Source organism: Homo sapiens, chromosome 6, assembly GCF_000001405.40.
Source record: "Homo sapiens chromosome 6, GRCh38.p14 Primary Assembly".
NCBI lineage: Eukaryota > Metazoa > Chordata > Mammalia > Primates > Hominidae > Homo > Homo sapiens.
In genome coordinates, this window is record NC_000006.12 from 118,960,653 (window position 1) to 118,982,977 (window position 22,325).

Sequence of the window (22,325 nt, forward strand, 5' to 3'; positions counted from 1 at the left end):
AAAGGGAGAACACTAAAAATATAATTTCCCCCGTTATTGATGTTATATAGTTTATACTTTTCTTAATTCTAACTAAAGATTCTTTGGGCTACTTAAGAAAACAAAAGAATCCCTACCGTCTTTGGGGAAAATTACAAGGCACGCAACAATGTGTAATGGAAACTCCAGTAGTCATGTTCCTTGAGCTCATGCACATGCATCTTACTGATACCTGAACATACCCATGCACAAGGGAAAATAAGCAACACAAAATATTTAGCAGGAGACAAATTCAGAGGTGTATCTGACTAATTTTCATTCTTGCTATTTTTTTTGTTAATCATTAACTATGTCACTAATCACTTAGCCTAAAAAAACCTGCCTACTTTGTAAGACTATTACTAGTGACACTGCTAAGATTTAGTAAGAATAAGAAAAAAAACATAAAGCAGCAAAAAATCAGTAATAGTAAGATGAGCATAAAACAACAGTACTTTCTGACTTTATCTAATGGCTAAATTTCTAATGAAATTTGCATTTCATTCAAAATTTGCTAATACATTTAATCAACAACTGCAAGGTAAAAAATTGGAATGGAAATTTTTAAAATTATTTATTTTTTCTAAATTTAGTTTTTGCATAAGTATATTTAAGTTCCCAGAGTTTACGTATGTTTCTATTTTGACAATAAGCATATATATATATATATTTATAAATAATCTTGGTAAACAAGAAAGGGAAAAAAATAAACATATATAAAAAACAAAAACCACTTAGTAAACAAAAAATTATTTTAAAGTTCTACAATAAGGATGGATTGTTAATTTAAAAATTGGTGACAATACTAAAAATAAAGTAATTGTGCATAATATTAAAATTCTAATGATATAAATTACATTAACACCTCTTCAAGTACTTAGAAAATTGACTGATGACCACAAATTAGAAAAAATCTTTTTAACACAGTCAAAAGGAAGTTCTCTAGAGAGGGGATAAATATACTTTGAAGAAAATATTTCATAGTAATTTTTCTTAGGTTGTTCTTAAAGTAGTGATTTCTGCAATGTAAGAAGGTAAATTTCTCAAGTTAAAAAAGAAAAGAAAAAAACATTGGTGAGACGGGTCTCACCTCAAAAATGTCTTGGGCCCTTTAGGTGGCACTGGCTGTGGAAGTGGTTTGCTGCTGTTGAACTCAATATCGTGGACTGGAGAATTAGGAATGGGATCCAGGCGGTTAGGATGTCCATTGCCCACTCCACCAGATTCCAGAGCACTTAGATTGGGAACACTCACAAACCTGTTTGTTGGTGATTTATCATTCTTCTTCTTTTGCTGCATTAAAAATAATACATGTGAGGATAGTCCCTGCATGAGGACAAATGAGAAAATAGGAATGGTAGAAGATAGAAATTTGGCATGGGAAAATTTTGGAAGCTTTATGTTAAATTAAAATGTTAATTAACCAGTGTTACCCAAACTGTGGTCTGGGAATCCTTGGAGGTATTTTTTATCTACATGGAATCCTCAAAGACAGACATGCTACCAGGGCAGAAAGAATGAGGAAGAAACATTTAGGAGTCATTCACGAGGAATGAGAGAGAAGGTAAAAAGAGTGCCAAGGGGTAAAGAATACCCTTTTGGGAAGAAAAGGGAAAAAGGATTAGGGGAGAGAGCAAGTCTTGCAGATAGAAGGTTAAATGGATTTAGGCTAAAATTAGGAGAAGGGGTAAAGTTAAACATAATTTTAAAAGAGAGTCCATGAAATTTAGCCATCTGTCAAAGGGAGGCAGTTCTTGCCTGGAAAAAAAAAAAGGAATGAGAAAATGCTTGGCAATGTAGTTTGAAACAAATTGCACATTTCTACTAAAGACCTAAAGCTGACTTAAGAGAAATAATCTGGTTTTAAATTCACTGTGACATCTATCTTTCTGAAGAGAGAAAGTTATATCTGCATAATTAAGTCTAATTTCCATATTACTTGGCAGTATCATTAATTGGCTCATATTTTTTAAACTTTAAAGGTTACAAAACAATAGTAATCAGCTGATTTTTTAATGTGTCTTTAAAATTAAGAGATAAAAAGACAAATTCCACTGCAGATTATCAAAATCTATCAGCTTGCAATTCACTAACTTTAGTCTCAAAGTATTTTATTCACATCTCTAGAATCAATGATCATCATCTTGCTATGAGAAATAAAAATTAACATGTTACTAGATATTTAGAATATTCTCATATTTTACTAATTAGATGTATACCAATTAAATTTGTAAGCTTTTTAGGGAAATAACTCGAGTTTGGGAAAAAATGCAATTAATATACAAGATGGAACTTTTATTTTTATTTATCTCATTGTCTAAACATTTTCCTCTGTCATATTCTGTGACTTGTAGAGTCTCTGATGAAAATCCTATTTTAGCATAACCAGAAAAAGAAAATAATAATAATACCTTCCTCAGAACTATTTGTGAAAACTAAAGTCACTATTAGGAGTCAAAAGTAGTTTGAAAGTTCTTACAAAGATGTATCTTTTGCATTTTCTTATTCTAGTCACCAGAGGGCATAATTAAACCTACTTAAGGTTTCTATTTTAAGAAATCAAAAGAATACTGGTAAAGTTCTACAGTAATCATTTTGCAGCTAAAAAATTTAATTCCAATAAAATAAATAAATGAAAAGGAGTATTTTTAGTATATCTTTTTTTCCACAAACCTCATAATCTTGCTTTATAATTAAAATCTTATTTCACCCTAAATTATGAATTAAAAAACTAAAACTAATTATAATTATTCATTCACCAATTATTTACTCAGAGCTTTCTATCTGCCAGGCAGTATTTTAGACTCTGAGATACAGCTACATGCCACTACAGTCATTCTATTTTAGAAAACATTCAAGTTTAAAGTTTGGAACACTTTAACTTGTAAAGGAAGGATAGATTCAGTGTTCTTAATAGAGAAGTTTTACGAGCTGTGAAAGGAAAGGAAAATTTCTGGGTAAAGTCCTAATAAAAATTAGGCATGACGTGAAACTTAATAAAATCTGAATTTGAAAAACAGCTTTGGAACTATCACTTTTATTTATTCTACTACTGATTTCTGCCATAAGATTCATAATTCCTATGAAGCCAATATATATATATATGTATATATATAATCATTTATTCTTTATGACTTCCTTTATTCACAGAATAATTTGTGGTGGCTTATAGGGAATGTGATGAAATTTTGCAACTGAACAAATATTTACTGAATACCTACTATACCCAAAACATGATTGGAGCCATGGGAAGCTAGGGTACAAAGATTTATAAGACTTGGCCATGTCTATTTCAAGGCTCTTCTTTTTGTCCCAAGAGAGTAACAAATATCAAAATAAGTCATACTCAATTTTAATTAAGAACGGTCATAAAGCTGGGCAAAGTGGCATACACCTGCAATCCCATCCACTCGGGAGCTGGAAGCAGGAGGATCGCTTGAGCCCAAGAGTTTGAGACCAGCCTGAGCAACGCAGTGAGACCCCATCTCCAAAACAAAAACAAAAAACCAAACCAAACCAAAAAGAACGGTCAGAAGGCTGAGAGAAGTAAAGCCCTTCTCTGACGATTGGTAGGCAACAAAATACATGTCCAACCCAAGGTCCATTAAGATGTTAGGCCTTAAACCAGGAACAGCTGTTGGGTATCCAGGGCTGGAGTCTCTTTCTGGACCATAAGCAGAAGATTGTGAACAATAAGAAAACAACAAGAAATAGTCTTAAGCAGAGTCAGAAGGTTAGTTTTCTTCAGAAATATGAAAAAAAGGTAGAATCAAGTTTTATAATATTGGTAAAATATATTTAAAGGAATATGAGTAGTATTCAGTTTCATTCTTAAAATGAACATATAAATAATTCATAAGTTTTAGTGCTAGATTATTAAATAGAAGAAAACATTTTTTGGGAGCTTTATCTAACTATGCTGCTCCAAATATTTTCACCAAATTTTTAACCAACTTTTAAACCACATTCCTATTCTACAGTGTTTACGGCACATACCTTAGCCAATGGATTAATAACACCAACAGTAGGACTTGAGTTAAACACTTTGTTGAAGTTAGTTTCTCGATTGACTAATTCCAGCTGATAAAACTTATTATCCTCCTATGCAAAAGAATTATAAACATCTTTTAAATATTTTCTATGGAATATTTTAAAAACATAAATGTATAAACGCCATTTCATTTAAAATTTACTATAAAACCTGAATGAAGATTTAGATACTTTGTTTAAAGATTTCTTGACATGATTGCTGCTGTCTTAAGGAATGTTGGGGGATAAGTTTTCAACACCTTTTAAACCCCATACCCGAGCACTTGACCCTTTTCCTTCAAAAGTGGACCTAAATGTTTTATTTGGTCCTAGCTGTTTCACAGGGCTGACTATGCAGTTTGGGCAGGTTTACAACTTACATTCATGGGGCTCTGGGCATGACTGAATTGTTTCCACAGATAAGGATGAAACTATATCATTAATCTTTATTTCCATTTCTTTTTATAGGCATGTGCCACCATACCCAGCTAAGTTTTTTTTGTTTGTTTTTTTTTTTTTTTTGGTGTGTGTAGAGGTAGGGTCTCACTACATCATCCAGGTTGGACTCAAACTCCTAGCCTCAAGCAATCCTCTGGCTTCGGCCTCCCAAAGTGCTGGGATTATAAGCATGAGCCATCATATCCGGCCTCATTATTCTTCAGTACTGTAAATAGATTCGATTGCATCTAATATGAGATATTAATCTATGATAGCAATGGTAATCAAAGAACAGGGAAAAAGTGATTGCCCACATAGAGATAAAACCTTTACCTTTGGCTTCACCAACAAGATGTTCTAATTGAGTAAGCAGAATGTGGGAAGGCCATAAGTAAATACAACAGTGTGTGGGAGAATGCAGGGCTGTGCTCTAGCAGAACTACATTCTAGTGAAATCTAGTAGAATTCTTTATGCCTCTCTTAGTCACCACTGTCATTCAAATCACTAATCTTGACCTATGTGCCTCACAGTCCACGGAATCAGGCTGTTGTGGAAGGAGTATGGAACAACCCTTGCCTACAATCCTGGCTCTTCCCTGGTGAGCTGTGCTGCTTTCGAAAGTTGCTTTACTGTATTTGCTGTGAGGACAAAATACAATTATAACACCTCCTCAGTAAGAACTGGGAATTAATAGCTATTTATATGGAACAGAGTTTCAATACATTTACTATGCTTGCTGATTTCATGTGTGAAATATAATTTTCCATGAGTCTGCTGCTACCAGATGCAGCAATCTATAAGGCCTGTGCTCATGTTCACAATATGTAGAAAATTGGGTGGCTGGTGGATTGAAGCAGCACACACTCATCTCTCCAAAGCCTGCTCCTGGATTCTACCTGTGATCCCCAATCTGCTACCTGTTGCTTTCAGCAGGAACTTCTAGTCTCAGACAACAGGCTGCCTCTCCTAAATGCAAACAGAGATGCATTAAGGAAAAAGGACTTCAGAAATACATGTTGCTCTTATGCTCTTTTTGCATGCTAAAGTCCAAAGTCTTCAGCTGAAGATATGAATGGTTAAAGAGTATATTCATTGTTAAATCCGTATTTTCTTAGCTGATAAACTTCAGAGCCATTAAGAACCCAGTGTTACTGACTTTCCAAGAGAGAACCTCAGTGTTACTGACCGTCCAAGAGAAAGCATGCAACTTTTCTGTGGCTAGATTATGGAACATTTTTTTTCTATAGAGTAAAAATTTTGGATTAGTGTTTGCTAGGACACATTTTAGGAAATCAATATGCTCAACCTGTTAGTGTACAATACAGGCTAATGCATGAATGTGCTGGCTTTTCTTTGCTAGCCAATCCTAATACTACATGTGCAACACACATACATACACACACTTCAATGGTATATTAATTGTATACTGGCAGTGACATATTATTAAACATTCAATATGTATCAAAAAGACTTTCTTTTAAAAAAAATGAAAGACGTACAATTCCCTTACCCTAATGCCAAATTTAAATTTTAAAAATTACTTTATTCATAAACATTTCAATGAACTTTCAATCACAATGCACATGTTCTGTGTTTTCTATTTTCACTTAGCATTACTTAAAAAGATTGTCCCATATTTTCCCAATCAATATCTATTGATTACTAACATGGTTAGACTAAAACCAAAATATCTTACAATTAGTTTCTTTATGATCTGGTCTCTTTCTGTAAGCATGGCTTTTAATTCTGTAATCATCTGTATATCTTCTGGTTTTGATTCTCTCATTAGATATTTTTCTTCCATTTCTTCTAATCTGAAAACAAGAAAGACTTTAGCTCATTGATATCACTCAGATACATTCTTCTGTAATACCTACATTAAAAAAATTAGTCTAGTTGAACACACACAAAAATCTGAAACAAAACTTCTTTTTTCCTTAAAACTTTTAAGCATAATGACATGACTGCTTCAAGAGCAGTAGTTGCATTAAAGGAGTTAAAGGGGTAGATGGTACTATGAAAGGCTTTGCAGGTTACTTCTGAAGAAGTCACTCATTTTAAGTCATTCCAGAGTATTTGGAGAAAAGGTGAGCAGTATCTGGAGATAAGCTCTGCAGAAGAAATTATATGTTGAATGATACTAACCTGACAAATAACAGGTTTGATACTAGAAAGGCAGGCTCACTATTACAAGTGCTTATCACAATACAATACTGTGTGATAACACAAGGCTTGGTAACATATAAAAAGGACAAGAAACAAATACAGATGAAAGCAAAACAAAGGACACACATGTATGACGTCATTTTTTCCTGGTTTATAGAAAAGAAAGTTTAAAAATTCTATATTATCAGCCAATACATACAAACTGAAAAAAAGTTTCATCAGGTAAGAGAAGAATTATGTTCCCTTCTAAGCCTATTCTGTCCTGAATGATATGAGGTGGTAATAGGCCTGAATGCCTTGAACGTTAAAATATAGGCCACTTTTTATAAGCAGGTGACACATCCTGCTGAGTCTAAGAATATAGGATGGGGCAGACTGAAGAGAATACAAATGGAAACTGCTGGCTTAGTTTCAGAAAAAGCACTTTCAATTTTAGAAAATGCAAATACTTAGAACAATTTTAAAAATCTTGTTTTCAGGATATAAAGGATAGAACTTAAAATTTCAATAACATTATTCAATAAAATTATGGTTAATAAAGATTCTTAGAAAAAATTATTCACTCATGAATACTGAGTAACTTGTAGATGATCTATCTTCCAGAAATCAGTTATACATTCCTATTCCCACCCAAAACCCTAGAGAGGTACCTGAATCTCAGTGTATTTGAGTACCATAAAATCCCTCCAAAAACTCAGCCTAAGCTAAAGATTTGGAGATAACATATTAGGCCCTCTATCCAGTCCCCTGGCTAAAGTTCTCAATTAGAGTGTTGGGAGGTATGAAGGTGATGAGGAAGTGAGGAAGTGATTGTCTCAGGATCAGCTAGGACTTCATCAGATCAGTGCGAGGTAAGTTGTACAACAGGGGTGTCCAATCTTTTGGTTTCCCTGGGCCACATTTAAAGAATTGTCTTCGGGCACACAAAATACACTAACACTAATGATAGCTGATGAGCTTAAAAAAAAAACTCAATAAAAAAATCTTATCATGCTTTAAGAAAGTTTACGAATTTGTGTTGGGCCACATTCAAAGCTGTCCTGGGCTGCATATGGCCTGCAGGCCGTGGGTTGAACAACCTTGCTGTACAATGTGTTAAGTTCCACTATCTTTAACTTTTGTTCTTTTGTGACAATAGAGACCAAGTGAAAAATAATGTGATTTGTTAACTCAAATAAAGTGACCTTGCATTTTATCCCAATATGGCAGAGTTAACTCTTAAAGTATTTTATGGGCAAACATTAAGAGTCGAGAAATACTAAACTAGTAAAAGAAATGGCAATTTGGGTTTTATGTTGGAGAAACCACAAGAGGTCACTGGAGCACTTTCTTTTATCATTAAAAGCAAAGTACAAGATTTATGAACTGCTTCCCGCAGCTGAGCAAGAATACTTGGTATAAATGGTAGCTAAACAACTAAATTTAAAGCCTTATTTAAAACTATTATTTCTATTTTTTTGTTAATTGAGAAGTTAAGGTAAAGTGAATCTAAAGCAATCAGTTACAATCTCTGAACCACTTTTTTTTGCATAATAAAGGTCTATCCCTGAATCCAAATTGCAGTGTTTTTATTTAGCTTAAACATCCTTTGCCTACAGAATTATTATCAGTTAATCTTCTCTATAAAATATCTGATATAGTTTGGCTGTGTCTCACCCAAATCTCATCTTGAATTGTAGTCCCCACAATCCCCATGTGTCATGGGAGAAACCTGGTGGGAAGTAATTGAATCATGGGGGCAGTTATCCCCATGCTATTCTCATGACAGTAACTTCTCAAAAGATCTGATGGTTTTATAAGGGAAAATCATTTCCCCCCTTGCTTGGCCCTTCTTCTTCCTGTCACCATGTGAATAAGGATGTGTTTACTTCCCCTTCCGCCATGATTGTAAGTTTCCTGAGGCCTCTCCAGCCATGCTGAACTGTGAGTCAATTAAACCTCTTTCCTTTATAAATTACCCAGTCTCGGGCATGACTTTATTAGCAGCGTGAGAACGGACTAATACAATATTTTTACATCATCAAAAATGTTTAATAAGAAAAACACCTGGATATTAAATAGGAAAATATAATTGATTAAATAGAAAAAACATAATCCATATAAACACAAACAGGAAAGCATTAAAGGAGAGAACAAGTAAGTAATATGATATAGATTTAACTTGCAAATATATTTCATTAATTACTAGTCTTTCAAAATTTTTACAGAAAGAAAACTTGATACTATTCCGATATCCATTTCAAGCCAAGACTAGTCAATATTTTTCTTTTCTTCAGTTGCCGCAGGCAGCTCTCATAACCAGCACTGCTTCTAAAATTTAGTCCAGGTGTGAACAACTGGTGATACAGTTTTGTTTTGTTTTTTAATTATACTTTAAGCTCTGGGATACATGTGCAGAACATGCAGGTTTGTTACACAGGTATACATGGGTTTGCTGCACCCATCAACCCATCATCTACATTAGGTATTTCTCCTCATGCTATCCCTCCCCCTGCCCCCCACCCCGTGACAGGCCCTGGTGTGTGATGTTCCCCTCCCTGGGCCCACATGTTCTCCTTGTTCAACTCCCACTTATGAGTGAGAACATGTGGAGTTTGGTTTTGTTCCTGCATACACAGCTGTTTTTAAGTTGGTTCTTTAATCTTTCTAATCACAAGAAAAAAAAATTGTTTGGGTGTATATATATATAATATATATATATATATTTTTTTTTTTTTGAGATGGAGTTTTGTTCTGTCACCCAGGCTGGAGTGCAATGGCACAATCTCAGTTACCTGCAACCTCCACCTCCCGGGTCCAGGCGATTCTCCTGCCTCAGTCTCCCAAGTAGCTGGGATTACAAGTGTCTGCCACCACACTCGGCTAATTTTTGTATTTTTAGTAGAGACGGGGTTTTACCATGTTGGTCAGGCTGGTCTCAAACTCCTGACCTCAGGTGATCCGCCTGCCTCGGCCTCCCAGAAGTGCTGGGATTACAGGCATGAGCCACTGTGCCCAGCCGGGTCTGTATATCTTAAATTGCCTTCATAACTTATGTTCATTACTCTATTTCACAACACTCAGGCAGGACTTCAGCATAAATGCTAGCTAGAATCTAATAACATTGTTTTATTTTCACAAAATTTACATTCATATAATTATAGCTTAGCTTTTATTTAGAATAAAGGATAAAATTTTTCAGTAGTGATAAATGTTCTACTGTAGTGATATCAAGTTTTCCTATTAAATATTTAAGTTAAAATAAGTCAATTAAAAATATTAAGAAAATAATATACGTAGCCAGAAATGACCCAATTCCCAAGGATGTATATGATCATCCCAAGGATGATTAAAGCCTGGGAAATGCCGCCTTGAGAATACCACACAAGTGTAGCCTTTTACTCAAATTTTACAGATTTCCATTAAAAGTAATAGAAGAGAGAAGAGAAAGGGGGAAAAAAGGAGAAAGGAGAAGTAGAACATATAAAATTACTAATTAGGGCCACTGATGGATTCTCACCAGGCATGCATGCCCTGCTTTCTTTGGCTCTGACAATATACAGGTCAATGTCTGTGATTCATGGACAACAGGCCTAAATTACAAATGCCTAAAAAGCTGTATACAAAGTTTCCAAGTTATAGTCTTGTTAAGAAAAAGAAAAGGATAAAAAAATAAAATCAGTGAATTTTAGAACCAAAAATGGTATACTATTGTTTCATAACCAAACAATAGTATATTATGCACACATATATCCTATAACTTTGATTTTATAAAGATGAAAAAACTCCTATATCATCATTTTCTAAACTCTTAAATAAAGGAAATATAGCAATTGAAGCACTTTAACGCTGAACCTTTCTTTTCCCATAAATTACGCACAGACTCTGATTTGTGACAAGACTACTTCCGTACCTCACAAAGCTTACAACCATACCTGAATGGTAAATTAAAAATCAAATGACAACAAAAACAAAAGTTATTTGGGTATTATAGATGAAAGGACTCAAAACTTAAACAAAAAATTAGTAATTCAGGTGTGGCGGAGTGCTTCTTTTCAATTGGGGATTACTGATCTATTTAAAATCTAAGTATAGAAACTCAACATTTCTCTCAAGAAGAAATCATCTTTTGTGAAATAAACCTAAACAATCAGTAATCTCAGAACCATCTTTTTGCATATTAAAAATCGGCCATGACCTCAAGTTGTAGAGAATGTTTTCATTTAGCTTGAACTTTCTTTACTTACAGAGTAAATCATTCAGATAAAAAAAAATCAAACAGCCCATTTTCTCATTTGTTTCTAAAAGAAACCAGAATCAGGACATTTTTATTAGATATAAAGTTTTTACTACTATATCACTGAAAAATAAAATTTCTATAGAACTCTCTGAAAAATCTAAAACTTTAACTTCCAGCACCAAAGCGGATTTGTAATAATCATCATCCATAAGCAATATAGAACTCATCACCACTTCTACAATACTTACAGACTTAGAGGGTATTTCCCATCCTTTACATGTGTTGCCCCACCCTTCTCTCTCCAGGAAGGGAGTTCAACAGGATTTGGGGCAGGAGCAGAAGCAAGAAGCTGCCTCTGCCCCCAAGCTTCCTCAGTGGCAGGCTGTGGCCTGTCAGGCTGCACCATGTCCCTTCAGCCCCCAGCACCACTGCCTTCCAGGAATCCACAGGACTCTTCTGATTTCAAAGTTTTAAAGCCAGGGTGCAGCTGATTAGGAACTTCAATAGAATCCCCTAGTCCTTGGGAACAGTACAGATACTGTTTCCCACAGCTCCATAAGTTGGAACCAACTCTCCCTGCTCACTACCTGTCTAAATCCAAACCATTCAGCAGATCCAAGCAGGCTGCATTTAAGGATATGAAACAGAAACAACCAATTGTCTAAAACTATGTTTTCCAACATTGTAGCCATTAGTCTGCATATGGCTATTTACATTTAAATTAATTAAAATTAAATGAAATTTATAAATTCAGCTCCTCAGTTATGCTAATCACCGTTCAAGCATTCAAGAGCCATTTTTAGCTAGAAGCTACTAACCTGGACAAAGCAGATACAAAACATTTTCATTATCACAATCTATTGGACAGTGTTGGTCAAATATAAATTTGGTGTGTGTTTGTTTTTAACTAAAGGAGTAAACACCTAAAGCTAGGGGGTAATTACCTGGTGGCAGTAAGTTTCTGGTGAAAAAAGAAACATAATTGGTTAGCATGGACCCAAGTGGAAGCATTAAAATGAAAGGAGAGTCTAGAAAAGCAGGTAGTTTACTTAAAAGCAAATACTAATTCTTTGATTATTAAAAATGATCATAAAATCAAAAACTAAGTTATTTGCTACCTACTGAAGATTCATAATGTGCAAAACCATATGCAACAGAATAAAGGAAAAACAAGGACACAACCTTTACTCTTTGTAAATTAACATTCCTAAGGAGACAGGACACACAGACAGACTGACGTTATTCTTTCTGTGACTATGTTTTTTCGGAGCATGAAGTGGGGGATGCCAAGATTTCAGTCTCTGTCTGAGGAGTACCACTGAGGCCAGGAAAAAGGACAGCCAAGGAATTGAGGTCTATTGTAAATCATTTCTGCAAAAGTATGGGGTTATGAGCTGTTATACAAGGCAGATACCTGAGCTCATACTTGGCCCAAAAGGATTTAAAAATCACCTCTAATAACAGCAAACACCAAACTCAGAGTGACCAGGGAAGTAACACAAGTTTCCTCACCATTTCAAAGGCAACTTCAAAAAGTGGTAAATATGATGGAGAAAGAATCATAAAATTCATTCATGAAACATTCACTGAGTGCTTAACTAATGTAACGATTCTGAATATGCCCATCAGAAAGAGCACCTCATCTCACAGCATACTCAAGTAAATAACAACTGGGGACCTGTTTTCTGCTGTGGCTTAAGTGAATACATGTGTGTGCATGTGTGCGTCTGTATGTGTGTGTTGTGGTGTTGCCTATGTATGTAACAATCTTTACCGAAAGATTGAATTGGTCACATAAATCAAATAAAAGAAGATAATTTTTAGATTTGAGGACAATACTTAAAACGGCAACAACACAGGAGGTTATTCTAGACTGTAGAGGACAACACAGGAAACCAAGAAGGTCCACTAGGCTGATAAAAAGACAGAATAAGAAATAAGGGTTGCTGTTGGATGATGTAGAATAAGGCACATTGGAGCTGTTAAGTTTACATTTGACTTTGACATGAAGGATAATGGGATTAGTCACTAATTGTGACTTTACTGAAGTATGTGGATATATATATATTTGATTGGAAGAGGAGAGACTAAAGGTGAATAAACTACTAGCAGCAGCTTAGAGTAGATTAATTCTGAAATAACTTATGTTGGACCAGGGTTTAGGCCACAGAGATGGACTGAGTACAAACTGCATTAGCTACATCAGTTTACAAGCATCTAGGAAAGGAAGGGTTATTAAATGTTTCCAAAGAACATTAAATAAGAATTAGAAACTTTGGTTTTAACAATACTGTAGTTACTATGTATGAGCGGTAACTTTATTTGTAATGTTTTCCCCTTTATTGATTTTTAAAATCATAAGACAATTAGATGCTTCTTGTAGGAATTTAAACAATATGTAAGTGGAGTATATAAAATAAAAAGAAAGAATTGCTCTTTCTCATCTCCAGTACCTCCTAATCCATTCTCTTGAGGGAACCATTACCATTAAAATTTGGTATTTGTTAAGATATTTTGATATTTTGGTAAAATATACATTATTAGTGTGTATATAGGATCATAGTATTCCTATTGTTCACTATATATTCTTTTTACTTAACATTATATATAGCCATATTTTCAGTTTTCACCATGGCATGATAGTTCATGATCCTAAGGAACATTCTTTAGATTACTGTTCTAGCAGAACTGGTGCAGTCTTAGTTGATAAAACATCATCATTCAACTGCCTCATCCTAATTAAAGAACATATAGCACTGCAATTACCATCTGTAACACAGCACTAAAATTTTCTTTTTAAAGTATCCTTTTTATTAGAGTCAAAATAACAGCTAATCTGAGGTTAAACACAGTGCTCCTAAATTTATTATCCACATATGAATTTTCTTATATAATATGACTTACGACACTTGTAAAGCGGCATTTATTTCCTTGAGTAGCTCGTTAGTCTTATTAAAATCTGCCCGCATGATATTTTTCTCTCTGAGGTGGTCTGCTGTCATGACATCCAACTCTTTTTCAAGTCTCTTGTTTAAATCTTGTTCATGCAACCTGTTTGATTTATTTTTAGTTAAGAAAATGTTATTCTGAAGTCAAGCTTTCAAAACTTTCTATTATTCTACCAGATTTGAAATGGTTTTTGGTATAATATATAGAAAATTTATGTAAACAGCCTAAATTAAGCTACTTACTTTCTGCTATAAGCTTCTGGCTTTGTTAAAGTTGTCTCCTTTAATGCTTTTTCAAATAACATTTTAAAAAGAATTCAGTTAATTATATACAATTTCCAAAGTGAATGAATACATGTTACATCATTCAAGATATAAACATTTCATCTGTGTTCTAGATTATAACATAGTCATCAAATAAAGTAAAAAGAGGTCTTCAATATTTTACTAGAGAGCCAGTCTAGTCACAAAATTAGCATAGATTACTAAATATCAGCACAACAGTTTTTCAGATGACACTGCATATTCCTTCTGTTGTACTTAATGGCATACCTTATCTGTTGGTTAGATTCACTTCGTATTCTGAGAATTTCTTTCCCCTTAAATTCCAGTTCTTTGGTTAGGGCACTTATATTCTCATGAAGGTGCTGAACCTCCTTATCCAATTCAGAGATGTGATGCTCTCTGTGTCTTAATTCCTCTTGTAGATCTGTAATTCTACATATGTGCTCCTTACTCTGTTAAAAAAAAAAAGTCATTTTTAGAAGTTTTCTACATATTTGATTTCTGTGTTTATCTGCGGGAAAGAAAATGACACACTGGAATGTCAAATGTAATCATTCTGACATTGCTTCTTCAAAAGCAAACTGCTGAAATGAGAAAACCTCAAGGCCTGTTCTCTTTCCACACATATAGTGTGTATATGGATATAGCTTCAATAATGTCAGATTACAAAGAACCCAAAAGGTCAAAGGACATCTCTCTCATTTTACAGATGAGGAAACCAATACCCAAAGATGATTTATAATCAGTGGATTAGTTGAGATTAGAACACAGTGCTCTTACATCCTCAGTAAGTTTTACATGATTTTGAAGAATAATTGTGGCACCACTGCCTATAATCTAAAGAGAAAGTGCATCTAAGGAGGCCCTCCTAAAACACACACATCACATGGCTTACAAAGCAGACTTAGTTTAGTGCTGCTCTAGCAGTTATCTGACAGTTAAGCTCCCTTCTGTGATTGTGCCACTCCACTCCAGCCTCAGTGACAAAGCGAGACCCTGTCTCAAATAAATAAATAACTGAATCAAATAAAGCTCTTCAATATAAATAGAATGTGATAACTAGTGAAAATAAGTTATTACAAAATAATTTTCAGGAAATTATGAACATTCAATCTATTCAAATTTAAGAAATCATCAGAGTACAGAATACTCTTACTTACCTGTCTTCTGCTGATGTCTATGCTTCTCTCTAATTCCATTTTAGCAGCTGCCAATTCTTGATGATGATTATGCCGTAACAAATCAATTGCAGCTGCATGTTGATGGTTGAGTTCTGAGCGCAAGGAAGCTGGAATTGCAAGGCAAAAATACATTTGGCACATTTAAAAAATATTATCAATACTTTAGATAAAAATTATAGAAGTAAAAAATTATTTCAAAAATTAGAACACTTGTGTATGTCCATTAAATTAATAGATTATAAACTATGACAAATTTAAATATTACAGACTACAATATACTATCATGAATTTAAAGTTAATGTAGCTTTGATGAGGATATAAAATATTTCAAATGTTTAAGCGGATCAAGGTATTTTTATACATGCTTTCAGTATGCAGGTAAAGTGCTAATGGAGATGAAGTATTTTTAATTCGTCTCTTTCACTATTAGGATAATAAAATTTGGTCAAGCACGGGGGCTCATGCCTATAATCCCAGCACTTTGGGAGGCCGAGGTGGGTGGATCACCTGAGGTCAGGAGTTCGAGACCAGCCTGATCAACATGGTGAAACCCCGTCTCTACTAAAAATACAAAAAATTAGCCAGGCATGGTGGTAGGTTCCTGTAATCTTAGCTACTCAGAAGACTGACACAGGAGAATTGCGTGAACCTGGGAGGCAGAGGTTGCAATGAGCCGAGATCACGCCATTGCACTCCAGCCTGGGCAACAGAGTGAGACTCCATCTCAAAAAAAAAAAAAAGAATGAAATTTTAGAGTTTAATGGTACCATAACAAATATTTAGGAGGCAACTTCTCACCCAAATAAGAATTCTTCAAAAATATCCCTAAAGGAGCCTGGCTGGTCAATGTTCTCATGATATTGAAAAATGTTCAATATCATGAGCCACTAGGAAAATGCAAATTAAAACCAGAATGAGTTATCACACATTCCTATCAGAAAGGATGAAATATAATGACAACATCAAATGTTGGTGAGGATGTGAGCAAAATTTATATGATGCTAGTAGGGATGGAAAATGGTACAATCACTCTAGAAAATGTTTGGCAGTTTGTTACAAAACTACATATGCAGCTGCCATATGACCCAGCAACCGCACTCCTAGGCACTTATCCCAGAGAAATGAAACTTATGTTTATATGAAATTTGTACGTGAATGTTTATAGCAGCTTTATTTGTAACAGCTAAGAACTAAAAGCTCAGGTGATCTTTAACGGGCAAAGGACAACAAACTACGGTGGATCAAAACCACTGAATACTACTTGGCAATAAAAAGAAACAAACTGTTGATACACACAATAACCTAGATGACTTCAGATAATTATGCCGAGTGAAAAAAGGCCAACCTCTACATGTTAAATATTGTTGGGTGTGGTGGTTCACACCTGTAATCCCAGCACTTTGGGAGGCCGAGACCCGTAGATCACTTGAGGCCTGGAGTTTGAGACCAGCTTGGGCAACATGGTGAAACCCTGCCTACAAAAATTACAAAAATTAGCTGGGTGTGGCAGCACACACTTATAGTCCCAGCTACTTAGGAGGCTGAGGCAGGAGGATTGCTTGAACCCGGGAGGTGGAGGTTGCAGTGAGCTGATAGCACACCACTGCATTCTTAACCTGGGCAACAGAGTGAGACCCTATCCCTTCTCCCCAAAAAGGTTAAATATTGTATGATTTCATTTATAAAATTAGAGCATTCTTAACCTGACAAAATCATAGAAATGAACAGGGTAATGGTTGCCAGGTGTTATAGGAGGGGAGGACTGGGAATATAGGTGTGGCAATAAATGAACAACATGAGTCATCTTCATGGTAATGGGAATGTTCTGAATCTTGACAGAATCTTCGTCATTGTACTGGTTGTGATACTGTACCATAGTTCTGCAAGATGTTACCACTGGAGGAACTAGTTAAAGAGATCTCTGTAGTATTTCTTAAAACTGCATGTGAATCTACAATTATTTCAAAATAAAAGTTTTTTTAAAGACCCAAAACTCTTTTTGTCAACAAAGACATATTTTATTTATTTATTTATTTATTTTTTGAGACAGAGTTTTGCTCTTGTTGCCCAGGCTGGAATGCAATGGTGTGATCTTGGCTCACTGCAAACTCGACCTTCCAGATTCAAGCGATTCTCCCGCCTCAGCCTCCCAAGTAGCTAGGATTACAGGCATGCGCCACCACGCCTGGCTAATTCTGTATTTTTAGTAGAGATGCAGTTTCACCATGTTGGTCAGGCTGATCTCAAAATCCCGCCCTCAGGTGATCCACCTGCCTCAGCCTCCCAAAGTACTGGGATTAGAGGTGTGAGCCACCACACCCGGCCAACAAAGACATATTTGAATCATGTTTAGTGGAGCATGTTTCAATGGACTAAACAACAATAGTTCCAACACTGGGACTGTTTTTGCCTGCCCTGACAAAGCTGTGGAATGTGTATTCCCTTTTGGCCACATTTCTATAAAGGCGACCTCTACATTTCACTACAATTCCTGTGCAAAGACAGGGCAGTAGTTCATTTTTTAATTCTCCTTGCTCAGCAATCTCTAGCACATGAAAAGGCTTTTCACAAATCTTTGACAAATGTCTAAATTTAATCTGATTTTCATGCTAGCAGTCATAGTGGGTTTTAAAGGAGGAAGAGGAGAGCTTTAACGACTTGGTCTGGGACTCCCAGCAACATTATCGATGAGAAACAGGGTCAGACGGCTTTCCCTTTGAGGCCCAAAATATTGATAACACTTCAGTCTTCTTTGCTCCAAATTCCTACTTGGAAAGAGTGTGCCACTGAAGTATGACAACATGTTAAAAATATTAGCATAATTTGGAATAAAGCCAAACAGAAGGAAAATGAGATGGTAAGAATAAAAAGTTATTGAATGACATAAAAAACAAAACCCAAAACAAATCTTTAAATACATATCCAGTTTTTCTTCAAAACTCAACCTACCTCCTTATAAAAAGTAATGATGTGAACACCTCATAGGTAGAAATCTCAAAGAAATATATACCTCAACAGAAGAGTCAGACCTAATACTGACTTTTCCCATTAAAACAAAATCTTGAAGTGTAAAAAACCATATGACCATGCAGTCTAAGGACATGTGGCTCCATGTCCTTTCTACTGAGCAGTGATTGATTTCTGGGACACCTCAATGTCCTGAGTCCACTTAGTCCAAAAAGGACAGATTAGAGTACCAGTGGTGTTGCTTGCATAGCTGGAGTACAGAGAGAGCTGAGGGGAATTCACTTTACTGTTTGTGTCCTGCCTATTCATGTGGTAACTTCAAATAAAATATGCAGTACACTTAGATATTCATTTTGACGTTTCAAAATTTTAAAATAAAACTTGGTGATTTTATGTTGAATTTAAAAAATGTTAAAAATGTACATATGAATATGACAAGATTGTAATCTTTTCAAAATACCAAGCATAGCCTTTCCTTCATCTTCTAATTCAAACCGAAGAGTCTGAAGTTCCTGTTCCATTTCTATCCGGAAGCCCTCCATTGACTCTCTGTGTGCATCTTTTAGTGATTGAAGCTCTGCAGAATGCTTCTGTTGTAAATGATTTTCAAGAGCCTAGAACAAGACAAATTCAAATTATTATGCTAGAATATAGGAAGGAAAATGCAAACAAAATAGAAAACAGTTACTAAAACTCAGTTATTATTTAAGAAATACAAAATGTTTTAGGTTCATTTTCAAGAAAACTAGACATAAGATAATCAACATTAGAAAAAATAATTAGGGTCATTTCAGTAGAATAAAGAAATCATCATGAAACCAATTTGATTCAATGTATTTTGTCTATATATTGAACAGGCTGGGCACAGTGGCTCACCCTTGTAATCCCAGCAGTTTGGGAGGACAAGGTGGAAGGATTGCTTGAGCCCCAGAATTCAAGACCAGCCTGGGCAACATAGCGAGACCCTGTTTCTACAAAAAAAAAAAAATTAAAAAATTAGCCAGGCATGGTGGTGTGCGCCTATAGTCCCAGCTATTCAGGAGGCTGAGGTGGAAAAATCACGAGTCTAGGAAGTCGAGACTGCAGTGAGCCATGATTGTGCTGCTGCACCTCAGCCTGGGTGACAGAGTGAGACCCTGTCTCAAAAAATAGAAAAAAAAATTTTTTTAATTTGAAGACTAATTATTATTAGGCAGTTGGGTTACATTTGAACGTATGTCACATAAAACTTACTCTTTGCTCCTTTTCCTTTTCCTCTTCCATAGTTTGAAATGCAAGGACATGTGCTTCTTTTAATGATTTGTGTCTTTGCTGATGTTGCTCCTCTAATTCTTCAAGCTCTTGCGTAAGCCGCTGTCGTTCTTGCGTAAACTGGGCTTGCAGTTGTTGCAAAGAAGTCTGAGACTGGGAAAGCTGTATCTCCAGATTCTGTTTCAGCAAGGAAATCTATGCCCCAGAATGGTACACAATGAAGAATAAATACAAGGCATAGTTCACAAACTACCCAGCAAAGGGGGAAAAGCATTTCAAAGATATTAATGATAGTAAAATAACTGCCTTAATGTTTCCATTTAAAATATTCTAAAATATATCATAAAAATAACCATTTAATATCACCATTTAAAATTCCACTTTCTGTAATTATTCTGAAAATAGTTTAGTTATATTGTTTATAGACTGTCTAAAGAACACTGCAGCCCACATTTAGAATACAATGAATATCTGTCTTAAGTTTCAATAAAAATTCATAATATGAAATAAAAACAGAAGACAACTAACATATTCATTAGGTTATAGTCACTTTGAGGAAAGAGTATGTTAAACCACTTATTTGTAAAGTAGTAAAGTGAAATAGGAGTGTGAGCTCTGAGTTAAAATCCTAGCTCTGTCACTTGTTAGTATCAACACCTCACCAGGCTATGTTACTACATATAGCTCACTTTGAACAGACTCTGGCATGTACTAAGCATTCAACAAATATTAGCTAAGATTATTTGAGAATTAAAAACCTACTGTTTAAAAGATACATCAGTTTATAATTTAGAATCATCATGTAAATTTTTATTTTTCATTTAACTCAAAGTTATTGAAAACCTTTAAGTTTCTAAAATGTCTCAAACGTCCCACAATCTTTTATTCAGCCATTATAATAATGTCAGGTGCTTTTCTTTCACTATGGAAAACTGATTTGTCACTCCTTTTGAAAACAGACATCAGCCTCAGTATGTCTGTATCACTTCTAGATGTCTTAATATACTTAAAATTAAGTATTTTGGGAAGAATAAAAACATAAAACAGGTATATGTATGTATTATATACGTTCATATATGCATTTGATAAAACCATTTAATTGACCTATTTCTATTCTCATACACAGGATATTGTAACTTGAAACTACGTATCTGTATTCTAAAAGAAGTCTAAATCTAAGAGGAACTTAGGAGAACCAGATACAAAGTTGTAAAATGTGTTCCATAAGCAACTTAAAACACTCTATGCTTTTATATACTGGTAAAACAGTTTCTGCGGCCAAAAAAGCCAATGAAAAGAGGAAACTTTAAAGTGAGTTTTTGTAAATGGGAAAATACTCTCTTTTAATTGATGGAAGGCAGACATAAGTTGCCTCACATGCGTCACAAAGAAAGGTACCTGGGAAAGAAAGAGAAAAGGCGGGGAATCACTAGACATGCAAGAGAAGAACGGAGGAAAGAATCATTAATTGGAAAAAGAAAAGGTCGAAAGCAAGCCACCATATCCCTTTAAAAAGCAGCAGGAACAGTCACAGACTGTAGTGAGCTTAGGGTGATGATTAGCCTTCCAGAAGGGTTCTGGACAAAGTTATCAATCAGAGTTAGTTATAAAGGTTAGCATATGGCTTTATGGAAACAGTCAAGCACTGGTGAGAAATCGTATGAACAATCTAGGTGTAATCTGTTTTAATGTATTTCCGAATAAGTGACTCCACCTGTTCAAACTTTATGAATTCTGCTTATTAATTTCTACAAAAACCTAAGGTTTCAGAGGTTATTTTAAAGTTTTGGAGCCAAGGTGGAACTGCAACCCTCTGATACCAAATATCACAACTCCTTATACCTCTAAATGGCAGCAGCACCCACGACTTACAGACTGAAATAAATCCTGCAAATGTGAGAATGTGATATGCGCATAAGAATCTCACAGCCACAGCTAAGGCCATACTTGTGGAATATGATAAATTATACCACATGACTTCTCACCATTTTATGCAATGAAAATCAGGATAAAACGAATATTGAAGACAGCCTAGAAAGAAAAAATAAACCACAAAAGGGTAACAAGAACAAAAATAGACATTTGTGAACACTGATTTGTAACCGGTAGAGCCGTTCTCTTCCCAGCAAGTTGGTTCTTGAAATAGAGAAAGCACCTACCCCCTCTCTTTGGAAGTTCAACCCTAGTCCCAGCCTAAGCATGGGGACCCATGGGACTGCCTTTTTTGTTTCTGAGGATAACTTGTTGAAATGTATACGGGAAAGCTGGAAAGGGTGTGTCACATGCAGAATAACAATATTCTCAAAGCTATTACTTGGCACCTGACCAAGTGGGGATTAAAGTCTACCCAGCATTCTGCTCACCAAGCTGTCTGCCCTGGTACAGATCTGTGTCCATCCAAAAAGAATGGACATGTTTTTCTGCTTTGCACAAAGGTGCCATATAGGCTAGCAGTGGCCCTGGATCCCATCCTCAAATTTAGTGTGTACTTCAATTAGTAGGAAACCAATCAGCTCACAGTGGTGTTTCTTATTTTCTGCAATACCTACTTCAAAATTTGCTGAATCGACAGACCTCTCATACGTTAATTTGACTCACGTTTGACCTATTAACAGATGAAACTTATGAAGAAATGCAATATTTAAAGTGAATGACTGGAAGTACCACAGTGCATAATAGTTACATATTTAAAATCTACAGAGTTTTAAATTTCTCCAGCTAAAATAAAATACACTTAAATATTTTACATTGTAATATACTTTACCTTGAAAGAACTCCAAAATAGTACTTTCCATCTTAGGATATGTGATTAATCTTTGTAT

At 35.1% G+C, this 22,325-nt stretch overlaps 1 protein-coding gene and 1 long non-coding RNA gene across 4 annotated transcripts in view; one reads left to right on the top strand and one right to left on the bottom strand.

The window, feature by feature from the left end:
• The window catches only part of LOC124901389 (uncharacterized), a 96,627-nt gene that overhangs the window by 25,738 nt on the left and 48,564 nt on the right, over positions 1 to 22,325 (top strand). The gene's annotated exons all lie outside the window — the stretch shown is intronic.
• Positions 1 to 22,325, bottom strand: part of FAM184A (family with sequence similarity 184 member A) — a 189,366-nt gene that overhangs the window by 890 nt on the left and 166,151 nt on the right. The window contains exons 10-17 of one of the 3 annotated variants that reach the window (NM_024581.6): positions 19,486 to 19,698; positions 18,713 to 18,866; positions 15,265 to 15,392; positions 14,372 to 14,556; positions 13,776 to 13,922; positions 6,183 to 6,300; positions 4,015 to 4,119; positions 1,109 to 1,311 (exon numbers count right to left, since the gene is read on the bottom strand). In NM_024581.6, the coding sequence (NP_078857.5) occupies positions 1,109 to 1,311; positions 4,015 to 4,119; positions 6,183 to 6,300; positions 13,776 to 13,922; positions 14,372 to 14,556; positions 15,265 to 15,392; positions 18,713 to 18,866; positions 19,486 to 19,698 (1,253 nt within the window). The remainder of the gene's footprint in view (positions 1 to 1,108; positions 1,312 to 4,014; positions 4,120 to 6,182; positions 6,301 to 13,775; positions 13,923 to 14,371; positions 14,557 to 15,264; positions 15,393 to 18,712; positions 18,867 to 19,485; positions 19,699 to 22,325) is intronic. The other 2 variants (NM_001100411.3, NM_001288576.2) reach the window with 2 other exon arrangements.